The sequence below is a fragment of the Homo sapiens genome, chromosome 2, assembly GCF_000001405.40.
Source record: "Homo sapiens chromosome 2, GRCh38.p14 Primary Assembly".
NCBI classification, from domain to species: Eukaryota; Metazoa; Chordata; class Mammalia; order Primates; family Hominidae; genus Homo; species Homo sapiens.
In genome coordinates, this window is record NC_000002.12 from 8,882,434 (window position 1) to 8,895,039 (window position 12,606).

General features: G+C 41.0%; 1 protein-coding gene across 13 annotated transcripts in view; it reads right to left on the reverse strand.

The window, feature by feature from the left end:
• The window catches only part of MBOAT2 (membrane bound glycerophospholipid O-acyltransferase 2), a 150,995-nt gene that overhangs the window by 29,744 nt on the left and 108,645 nt on the right, over positions 1–12,606 (reverse strand). For all 13 annotated transcript variants that reach the window (NR_135601.2, NR_135605.2, NR_135600.2 and 10 more), the window contains 2 exons: positions 5,585–5,640; positions 78–132 (listed from right to left, as the gene is read on the reverse strand). Coding sequence is in view for 4 of the 13 variants with exons in the window: in NM_001321265.2 (NP_001308194.1) it covers positions 78–132; positions 5,585–5,640 (111 nt within the window). In the remaining 9 variants the exon portion in view is untranslated. The remainder of the gene's footprint in view (positions 1–77; positions 133–5,584; positions 5,641–12,606) is intronic.

Here is a 12,606-nt window from a genome sequence, read left to right on the forward strand (position 1 = left end):
GCCTCAGCCACAGAAGGAACGTGGGTCCTAGGCAGGGGCGCAGGAAGCATGGCAGAATAGGATGCAAAGGCACGTACCTTACAGCTAAATCCCTCTGTGAGGAAGTCAGTTCTTCATCCTTCCGAAACATCCCTGAGAAACAAAAATAGGTACTCATCAATTAAGATTTCTCCCCAAAATGGCATTTTTGCCCATGCACACTTTCATTACTTTCCTCATTTGAAATTCATGCTATTATATTCCTAATTTTGATATAATGACTGTTCCTTTCCTTCTCATGGCAACACAGCCTCGATCATGTGAAAAGTCTCTATAAAATAACACATGGTTGGGTATCTGACTCCACTCTAAGGGGAGTTATAATTAAAGAATTCCCAAATGCTGGCACTTTAAAAATTATAATGTTATTATCCTTAATCGTAAATGCTATGACTTTTCGAAAAGGGGCATTACAATTTTTCTATTATGGGATGACTTAAATGACTACACATGAGTACTATAAACTAGAAGATCAACCTAAAGCAAAGAGCAATTTCCTTACTCCTCCATGACTCCAATGCATGAAAACCAAACTCAAATACATCATCTTCATCCATCTATTTACGTTTCTCTTCAAAGAGGAGGATATATTATTTAAGATTACACATCAATTTACTAGATCCATATGCTTTAAAAATATATACCTCAAATCCAATTTAAAGACCAAAGGGGAATGAAATTAAAAAGCAAATAGCAACATTAATATTAATAAATTAATAAACTAATATTAGTAAAGTAGTAATATTCCCCCAAAGAACCAAAGCTAAAGCAATTAAAAAACAGTGAAATAAATAGACAAAACTAAAAACATGAAAAGACAAATCGTAGAATACATGTAGCCAACTAACGTGAAATGTTAATTTCACGATTAATAATGTTTTCATTATAAATCATTACATGTACATTAAAAGAGCAAGATGCCATTTTCACCTATTACAAGTATGCAGAAATTTTAAAGGGCTCTTACTCATATAATACAATCTAAATTATGTAAAACACACATTTTATGTATTTTATATGTATATAAAACAAAGATGAGAAGAAAATAATTACTGTCTTAAAATGCCTCAGGAACTATTCTATGCACTGAGGAAAGAGCAGACGAAAAACAAACTCCCTGCTTTTATAGCACTTATATTCTAGTAGGGAGACAGAAGATAAACAAATAAATGAGGTACCAAGAGGAACTCACATCATCTTGCTGTAAACCAGTATAGCAAACACTTTAGAAATCTTTCTACCTTCTATTCCTACAACTCTAGCCCTAAGGAAATAACTGAAGGTGTGATTCAAGATTTATGACAAGGATCATCACAACTTTATACGTAATAGCAGAAAAAAAGTAACAACCTATATATGCAACAATTGGGGAATGGGAATATATTACACATTCCACTTTTGACAATTATGTAAAAAGAAAACCATGCCTCATAAGATGATAAAGGAAATATTAATAAAAAAGAAGGGGCCAGGTGCAGAGTGGCTCACGCTTGTAATCCCAGTACTTTGGGAGGCCAAGGCGGGTGGATCACCTGAGGCCAGGAGTTTGAGACCAGCCTGGCCAACATGGTGAAACCTTGTCTTTACTAAAAAAAAAAAAAAAGAAAAAAAAAATTAGTTGGGTGTGGCGGCGGGCGCCTATAATCCCAACTACTCAGGAGGCTGAGGCAGGAGAATCACTTGAATCTGGGAAGTGGAGGTTTCAGTGAGCCAAGACTCAGCCAAAAAAAAAAAAAAAAAAAAAAAAAGTCTGGCTCTGAGAAATGTTGGGGGAGGGACATGGAAGATTATTTTTTCTTCGTATTTCCAATTTGTATTTTTCAAATTTTCCTCAATGATCACATACCTACTTTTTATAATCAGGAGGAAAAAAACACTTAAAAAAAAAGATGATCGAAGATTAGAGAACGGTAAAACATTATCAGGATTTAAACCCCAAAAAAGGGTAATTCCTACTTGTGACAATTCTACTTTCTTCCCCCATATCAGATATATGTTGTCCACCTTTTCCTTAAAAAAAAAAAAAAAGAGCCATCTTTAGAAATGAGGATAAGTATTCAATTTTTAAAAACTCCTTATCCTTTTTTCCCTCATGCTTTTACCAGGCAAGTGACATGTTAATAGCCTTCTTTGTGATTTCAAGCTTTGCCATACATAAACTATGTCATTATATTTAGTCAGCATTTCCAAGTGTTTGGCATAGGGTGGGCCTCTACACCAGTTCAGTCTGCCATGTTGCTCAGAGAAGCGATTACTGCTTTCGAAGTGTAAACTAACCAAGAAAAGTAGACACAGAGCTTAAAGGATAGAGTTGCATAGAACAAACTTGTGTCAAAAGTCTACACGCACAACAAACCCAGCCTTCCTTCTCAGTTCAAAACTTGGGAACTGGCCAAAAGAATCAACAAAAACCAATTAAAGACAAGATATCATTTTTTAAAGCTAGAAGTCTAACCAAGTCCAAGTGAGGCAGTGCAGCAAACAATGGGGTATGACAAGACTTCTGAGCCCTGGCATGACACCACATTGCAGGTGGAGACTGAAAGCCTGCCACTGCTGCTGTGTCTAACAGCTGATACGGGTAGTCCAGTGATTCTACTCTGCTGCTTAGTTACCCTGAACATACCATTTTTTCACTGAATTAATGGAATGGCGTATCTTCCACTGTTTAGTACTTATGTATGAATAGGTAAAAGAAAATGATTGCTTATCATTTTCATGTAAATTCGGAGTCAGGAATCATGGCGATGCCAAACAACCACTGATTATCTCCATGGGTGGCTGCGATAGTGGCACCTTTGGTTTCTGATGGTTCAATGTACACACATTTTGTTTTATGCACAAAATTATTAAAAATAATGTATAAATTACCTTCAGTCTATGTGTATAAGGTATATATAAAACAAATTAATTCTGTGTTTAGACTTGGGTCCCAAGATATCTCATTACATGTATGCAAATATTCCAAAACCCGAATAAATCCAAAATCGGAAACACTTTTCTCAAGTATTTCATATACGAGATATTCAACCTGTACAAACATTCTGTTAGGTTCAAGTATTCCTATTGTGAGGTGACATCAATGAAGCTGCCAGCAAGACAACCAGCTACACTATCCCTAAAGGCCACAGTACAAGCCAGACTTCATGAGCAAACATGCCAGCAGGTTATTTTAGTCATTCATCCTAAGCCCTCAGCAATCTCATATACATGATTCAAAGCCAGAAAGGCAAGCAGGCTCTATTATATGAGGGTGATGAAATGTCTTAAAAACCATGCCTAGAAATACCCAAAGATAAAATAACACCTGCTTCCTGAAGATGCAAATATGAATGATGCCACTGGATTGATAGTTGAAAAACAGACACAGCTGTAGGTAATTTATTTGGTTTCATCTAGGGGTGGTCCTGAACCAGGCTGTGCAGAAACAAGTTAACATAGTTCTGAGAATGCTATCCTTAGAAAGGCCTGCTTATGAGGTGTGCCCACGGCTGGTGTATGAGAACTTGGCTGGTCCACAGTCCCCTACACCGATAGGAAATGTCCCCTATGTCTAGCCTATTTGTGCCAACAATGTGGTTTATTCTGAACACCTGCTTTCCTTCTGGGAGCCTGGAATTTTGGTGTGCGCTAGGCAGCGGGGGCCTATGTGACCAGCCCCCAGTAAAAACTTTGGGTGCTGAGCGTCTAAAGAGCTTCCCTGATGGACACTTCACAGGTGTTGTCACAATCTGTTGCTGGGGGAAATAAGTCCGTTCTCTGTGACTCCCCTGGGAGAGGACTTCTGGAAACTTGTGCCTGGTTTCTTCCAGACTTCATTACAGGCACCTTTGTACTTTATTGACTTTGCTTGGAATCTTTTCACTGTAATAAATGTTAGCCTTGAATTCAACTACATGCTCAGTCCTGTGAATCACCAAACTGGGAGTGGTCTTGGGGTCCCCCAATACACAGATAATAAGGCCCTTCTCTGAAAGATTAGCTGAGAAAATATGGCTTAGACAGGGTTCAATCTATCCCTTGGGAATAAAGGGGTAGGTGGTATGGGATGTGGCAGGCCTGCAGCAAACTGTCTCAGAGGATGTACTGAAGCAAACTGGAAGAGGAACCTAGTTTGAAAAGTTAAAGTGTATGAACTCCTCAAATGCTGCCAAGACTAATCACAATCTAAACTGTTCTAAAGAGATAATTACCATTAAATCCATTTAAAAGAACAGGTTACAAAATGGGGTTTGTTGTTCTTCTGAGTTGAATATATATATTGTCATCAGATACTTCTAGATCTATGGACAAAATTATATCCTTGATCCACGACTTTCCTATATTCTCTTTCCAGTGTCACAGGAGTAATCTGTTACCAGCATACTACAGAAGTTCTAGCACCTGAAGATAATTATAGGCTTTTACCTACAGTGTTTCCTAGTGTAAGTTTTATTATAACTACAGTCTAGTAACAGGGTCGAGTGAGTTTCACCCACTTCATTGATCACAATGCAAGAACTACAAGACACTGTGCATAAATTATAATCCAAGAAAAAACCCTCCAAGCTGAATCATACTGTTAATTGACAAAGGAGAAAACTGAAGCAGTAAGAAGCTGAACTGGAATCTGAGCGTACATCTGCCCATCCATCAAAACCCACACTCCAACCACATCCTCATGTTCCCTCCTGTATGCAGAATTTTCCCTCAGTGGTGTTTCTTTTTCTGAAGGGCAGAAAGATAGTTGCTGTTTAACCTGCAGACTTGATTAAACAAGTAGCAGAGAGTTTTTAATCTACCTCCTTCCCTCCACCACCCCCTCAAAAAACTAAGTGTTAATTTTGCTTGTTAGTAGCCAGAGGGGACAAGAGGAAAAATTCTCCTCTCTCTCTCTCTGCACTGTACTGTCAAGGCTGGTTCTCTGACAATAAGAGGGAAAACCTGCCCGGGGAGTGGGCACAGGATGGGTGGAGACACAGTAGGGCTCAAACTCATCTCAAAAGCTCCGCAGGCTACATACAAATGACCATTCTAACAAGGATGCTTCGTTTCTTCAGTCTTCGAAGGAATCAGAGCCCAAATCTCACGACTCAGAGTCCTGTTAGGCCAGGACTAGATGTCCACTCACTGAAGACAGAAATATTTCTAATAAAAATACATGGAAACAGGTAATTATGAATGTGTGTATATCAAGGAGAAGAGGTGGGGGAAGGCACATAAATTATAATAAAAATTTAACGAGGAGCTGAAGCAGGAAATAATAAAACCTGATCTAGACCAAATGTCTCTTTCCTTTATATGTCAAATTATCACTACTGTGGGCCATATGACTAAATCACACTATTCTACTGTCACTGCACTGAATTCAAAACGAAGATAAAACACTGAAGGAAAGCAAGAAAGCAAGCATTTTTCATAATCCTAAGCACAGTTAAGTATATTTCCCTATCTTACCTCCCTCCATTTCCTTACTCTAATAGCAGAAAGTTATGGCAATATCTCAAGCAAAAGATTATTGGAATTAAATTTTTTCAGCAATAAAAATTAATTTCAGAATTCTTACCATCATGAATTTCGCAAGCCAAACTAGTGATCTTCTGAGTAATGATCATCATTGGGCTGTGACAAGATAAAAAAAATTAGTGTTTTAAAAGAAGAAAGTTAAAACAATACTTATGACATATGAGTTAAGAGTTTATTCTGCTTTTATCACTACAAATCCTGAAATTTTTAACATAAAAAAGACCTCCAAGGGATTTCAGCAATAACTCAGAAGTTATGTATTTGAGGACAGCATAGGCGATGGGGATCTGGACTTTCTCCGAGGCTTCAAAAAATGAAAAACAAAAGAAAAAGGCTCCACCCCTAAAAGAAATCTCCAGTGACCCAGTGATCTAACCTGGCCTCCTCATCTCACACATTAGAAAACAAGGCCCGGAGGTAAGAAGCACGCAGGCATGAGATGTGGCCCCAGTCTCCTGCTTTCTGCTCAGTACTTTCTTCAACATATCATGGACAGACTCTCAACTCCCTATTCTAAAAACTAGGCACCCAGGAGTTACAGACTCTAAACACAGCCATCTAAGGCACTGAAATCATGATGTATTTTAAAGGAAAAAGGACTTTAAAATCATAAGAAAAAAATGGCATTATTTTCCCATATCTTATAATTACTATAATTGAATGAATAACTTAGAAAGGAAAAAACACATCCACATAAGAAAACCACCAGGATGCATCTTAACCTTTAAAGATGACATTAGCTTACAGACAGTATTAAAAAACAGTTAAGGCTGGGCACGGTGGCTCATGCCTGTAATCTCAGCACTTTGGGAGGCTGAGGCGGGAGAATCGCTTGAGCCCAGGAGTCTGAGACCACCCTGGTCAACACAGCAAGACTCCATCTCTATAAAAATAAATAAAATAAAATAAGAATAAATAAAACCACCAGGAAGGCTTTTATCCTTTATTACATTAGCTTACAAACTATACTGAAGAACAATTGACCAGAAGTTATTTAATTTTTTGAAACAATAATATAATAAACCCAGAAAATTGTGTTTTGCCTCAAGGTAGACTGTGCTCTATACACATGCAGAGGAGAACATGTTTCACGGAATCCTGAGGACAGTGTGGCGCACGCAGCATCACCCCATGCACTGCCAAGGAAAGGGGCCAGGAGGGGAGAGGACCCCAGCCTAGGGAGGCTTAGACCCCCGTGGGTCTAGTTCTGACCTGCTCTCTTCCAGCAGTCCACACCGCTCAGTGCAGAAGCTCGAACTGCTGCCTCTCGCAAACAGAGGTGTCTTTCTCACAAGGTCAGCAAACGGCAGCAAGGGTTTGCTTTAAACATTCCTACCACTGGAAATTTGATTCACAGACCTGGGCCCTTGAGAAGCTACAGCTCATTCTCCTCAACTAACGGGAAGGTCTCATCAATGACAAATGTTCTTAAACTGGAAGTGCTTAAGGGAGGAGATTTCTCTTAGGTTCCCTTAAAAAGTCAGTTCTTACATTTACATACTCACTCCTCAGGAAATCATGCTTCAACCAACCTAATCCCCCAGGTGGCTTGGAACACCCGATTGCTATTTCTGCTTTGCAAGATAGATACCCTTCAAGCCCTTGAAAATGATAAAAATGCCCTATAATTTCCATTTCCCTGGGGGAGAGAATCATTTTTCTCACACTGCCTAATTCTTTTCATAGTTTAGCTCACTGGTGAGTTATAAAATTCTCTTCAGTTCTAAATTCTAATTTCCACGTCACCTTAAAACATAGTAACAACTGATAAAATAATTATTACATTTATTTTGTCAATTCAGTGACACAGTAAGCTGTCAGGTATACATAGACAAGATGTTAAAAAAATGCAAATAAGTGCTCTGAGTGTCCTTCTTGTGCCCACTTGGGCCCCTGAACCCACATGCAACTTCTATTCCATCAGGTGCAAAGGACACAGAAACTCTTATGAAAGTAAGCTGCGCTGGGAGGACGGGTGACATGTGGCTGGGAGGACGGGTAAGGTGTGGCTGGGAGTATGTGTGACATGTACCTGAGAGGATGGGTGACGTGTAGCTAGGAGGACAGGTGACATGTAGCTGTATTGCTGGTTCCAAGAATCATGCTCTAACAGAGCGGGAGGGAAGGCAGGAAACAGACCTGAATACTCCAGCCTCTCTCCAAATGCTGCTCCCTTTACCCAGACTACTCTTCCTCGAAGCATTTTACAAGGATAAGTTACTCCTCCCTCTTCATGAATCAGCTGAAGAGTCACTTCACACAAGAGGCCCACTGGACAACTCTATCTCAAGTAGCTTCCCCTGTGCCCACAAAAACACACACACACACGCGCGCACGCAAATACTCTTCATTTCATCTTAGTCCTTGTTTGTTTCCTTCAAGGTGTTTTCACATTCATAGTTGTTTTTTTTATTAAATCTCAGTGGTTGTTTTAAAATCTCTCCCTTTTTAAGAAAGTCCATGAGGCAAGGAACCTAACAGTCTTGTTCACCACTGAATCTCCAGCATGTAGCACAGTGTCTGGCACAAAATATGTGCTAAATGTAAAAAAATGTCTTTTTCATCAGGGTCTCGCTCTGTCACCCAGGCTGGAGTGCAGTGGTGCAATCTCGGGTGACTGAAGCCTTGACCTTCTGGGCTCAAGTGATCCTCCCACCTCAGCCTCCAAAGCAGCTAACCCTACAGGTACATGCTACCACACGTGGGTAATTTTTAAATTTTTTGTAGACACGGGGTTTTGCTATGTTGCCCAGGCTGGTCTCAAACTCCTGGGCTTAAGCGATCCACCCACCTCAGCCTCTCAAAAGTACTGAACTTACAGGTGTGAGCCACCGTGCCTGGCCAATAAATATTTTTAAAATATCAAATAAACTGAATCTAAGTGTCCAGTCAAGATCTATTATTCCTTCTGTAGGTTAATTATACTCTCTCCCATCTGTTCTTTCTCATCTGTGCTTGAAAGCATTTATTATATATTGTAATGATTTGTTTACTTTTCTATTACTACAAAAAACCCATGAGCTACTCAACAGTTAGGAACACAGCTTTAATTATTTCTGTGCCTTCAGTACCTGGCACCTAATACACTATCAGTGTGGTGACTGGTTTATAGAAATGCTTCATCATATTTTGGTTTCATTTCCTGATGGTCATTAGCTCAACACATTCCCTTTGTTTTAAGTGGATGGCAGTCCCAAGGCTTCTGGTCCAACCCATCAGCCGGTGCGTAGCACATGGAGAAACAGAAAGACAGAAGACAAAATTATCATAGGGAACTATGCAGGAGTATGTTATGGATGAAAATAAGAAAGGATTATAGGAAAAGTTCAGTAAGGGATGAGCAGATTAAAGAGAGCTCAGAAATGCAAATTGGAGGGCAAAACAGACATATGAGTCCAACGCAGCAGGTATATGGCTGGGAGACAAGAAAGACTGATGGGAAAGGGCATATCTCACCCTTCCGCAGCAGGAACGACTGTGCAGGAAGCATTTACAACAAAAACAGTGCAATGGTGCACAGGGAGGTAACTGCAGTGGGCTTTCTTAACAGCATATTTTGTTCATAAATCTCTGGTTCAGGACAATTAGGGTGATTCACACAACTATTTCACTTACATCTTTACTGACATTTTAACTATTAAATATCTGTTGACTTTGTATTAATGGAGCTTCAGTATCTAACCACTTCCTGGGCCCTAGGAAAGTCTGGGATACCTTGACACGAATTGGAAAGAACCTCCTGTTTCCCTAGGATGGAAATGGGAAGCTGAAGAAGGTAGGAGAGGCAGAAGGCTTTGGAACTTCCAGAGTGAGGTCAGGGCCTCAGGATGGAGCTTCCGTTTCCTTCTATAGGACAACATTAGTATATTTAAGTGGTATTACCGAAATTTCCTTCCAGTGATACTCTGCTAAGAATGTGGGAAAATATGAAATATAACTGTCCAAAGTAATACTTCAACTGATGTAACAGTTTCAGCTAATATTAAAAAATTCAGCTGAAGTAAAAACTCCAGACTTTCTGAAATAAAACAAAGGATGAAAAAGTTAAAAAATATATTCACACACTTTTTTCTCTACAAAGAACAAGAATAGTAGGATTTGGTTCTATTACACAGTAAAACTCAAATGTAGTTAAACATTACAAGATAATGAATGCTAAAAATGAACAATTACTTTCATGATTGTTCCATTATCTCTGGGAGACCACTAAGCTTAAGGGAAGTCTGTATATTAATGCTACAAATCAACTAAAAGCATCTACTAGGTAACAGCTTGCCACCAGGACATGTGTTACCCAGCAACGGAGGCAAACTGTTAACTGTTCACCTCAGTTATCCTAAGTGTACAAGTACCCTTTCAACCAAACAAGATCCACTGACACCAAGTAACCCCACTTACCTAACACCAAATGAATACAAAGTGAGAGATAATGGAAAAGTCCATTGGTCTTAGTCATCCATTCATTCATTTACTTACTGCTTCATTCAGAAAAAAAAAAGTATTTAATTAATGAGCACCTACGATGCACCAAGTACTGTTCTATGTGCCAAAGATACAATGTGAACAAGACAGGCCAAGTCCTTGCTGCTATGAAATTTATACTGTACTGGAGAGAGACAGATTATAAACAAATAAACAGGTAAAAGACACAGTGTGTCAGATGCTGCCAGTCCTGGGCAGTGAAATGAAGCAGGGTAAGGGGCCTAAGGAATACAGAACACAGGTGGGAACCGGCCTCACCCAGAAGATGACAGTGAAATAGAGGACAAGCTCTGTGGAGGCCTGGGGTAAAAATATTCCAGGAAGAGAGAAAAGTAAGTTCAACAGCCCCAGGAAGAAGTGTGACTGGCATGTTGGAGGATCAGTACGGAGGCCAATGTGATGAGCAAGGAGGACAGGAACAGAAGCTAAAGATGGCAAGCAGGACACCGGATCCAGCAGGCTCTGCAGAGCGAGGACACAGGCTTGGATCTGAGTGACACGGGAAACTACTGGAGGATTTTAGGCAAAAGAGTGACTTGGTTTTAAAAGAATATATTCTGACTCTAGGTTGAAAAAAGACTGTGGGGGCACCAGAGGCAGGGGGAGGGGGTGGGGGAGGAGGCAGGGGGAGGGGGTGGGGGAGGAGGCAGGGGAGGTGGGCAGGGGGAGATGGTGGCTCAGACCAGGGTAACAGCACAGGAGGTCTGAAGTCACCTCTAGATCTATTCTGAAAGGAAAGTCAATGGGATTCGATAATGTATCCAATGTGGGGTTTCATACCTGGAACCACCAAGGTTTTTGACCAGGGTAACTAACTAGGAGGAGAAAGCTGACTGAGAAGGGAAAACAGCACTGCAGCTTCAGGCACGCTTGGCACAAGAGGCCCTAGACAGCAGGGTACATAGGCAGCTGGACATAAGAGTCAGAACACTTAATCCTGACCCCACATCAGCTGTGGAAAACAAGGAAGTTATTTAACTTTTCTCAAAACGGTTACCTATAAAACACAAGTGATAATAATGCCACTGTGTGGATTAAATTCAATAGTATCTGAGACACAGCAGATGTTTAATAGGAGCTGGGTCCCTTCTCCCATTCACACCTTTGCATAGTAACTGCCAGAACTGCTAAGAAGCCAGTGGCGCTGAAGGGACCTAATAATCAAAAGGGAAGTGCTGTTCCTGGAGAAGCTTTCTCTTGAGAACAGGAAATGAAAGGTATGTGAATAAACTACATAACAAAGTATCCACTGCCCAGTGAGCTATTTGAAGGTCTGCACAGAGAGAGCTGAGGGAATGCATTTCAAACAAGAGTCATTTAGTTTGGGCCTTTAAGACTGCAGAAGTTTGGACATGCAGATATGGCTGGAAGGATGTTCCAAGGAGAGACACTGGGATAAGCAGCAGAACTGAAGAAGAAAGAACAGGTGAGAGGGCACACATCAAGGAGGCCCTGCAGGCCTGTCACCAGCTTCTCAGCCTCAGGAAAACACTGCATTTTTTTTTTTAATACTCTAAGTTCTGGGATACATGTGCAGATCGTGCAGGTTTGTTACATAGGTATACATGTGCCATGGTGGTATGCTGCACCCATCAACCCCTCATCTACATTAGGTATTTCTCCTAATGCTAACCCTCCCCTAGCCCCCACCCGCCGACAGAACCCGATACGTGATATTCCCCTCCCTGTGTCCACGTGTTCTCATGGTTCAACTCCCACTTATGAGTGAGAACAACACTGCATGTTTCTGACGAACCTTGTACCACACTGCTTTGTGAACACACATACATTCAGGGAGAAAGGCTTGGTTCGGTAGGGTGGGGAACAGACAAAGCAAACCATAAATAGATCCATCTCTGTTTACTCCTGGTAACTTGAATTACATTAGTGGCAGCTAAACGGAATGTTTCCTGTAATCAAACGTAGGTCAAGGGCTGGGAGACACTCCCACAGAATGGGCCAGGATAAAGGCCCACTACTTGCAGGCAGTTGAATGATTCATATCGACCCTATTTACAACACAGTTGCTGGGCGCCATGTGCGGGGAAGATAATGAAGGGCCAAGGGGGGCCTTCCATGACTCATTTCAGAGAACACAGAAACACATCTACAATTAGACTCTGAACGTGAATAATACTTTCTAAAAAGGAGTGATGGACATGACAAGCACACCTGTGGCTATCAGATTGTGTGCAGAACTGGTGGGTTCTTGGTCTCGCTGACTTCAAGAATGAAGCCACAGACCCTCACGGTGACAGTTCTTAAAGATGGTGTGTCCGGAGTTTGTTCCTTCTGATGTTCAGACGTGTCCAGAATTTCTTCCTTCTGGTGGGTTCGTGGTCTTGCTGACTTCAGGAGTGAAGCTGCAGACCTTCACGGTGAGTGTTACAGCTCTTAAAGGCGGCACGTCTGGAGTTGTTCGTTCCTCCCAGTGGGTTCGTGGTCTCCCCGACTTCAGGAGTGAAGCTGCAGACCTTCGTGGTGTTACAGTTCATAAAGGCGGCACGTCCGGAGTTGTTCATTCCTCCCAGTGGGTTCGTGGTCTTGCTGACTTCAGGAGTAAAGCTGCAGACCTTCATG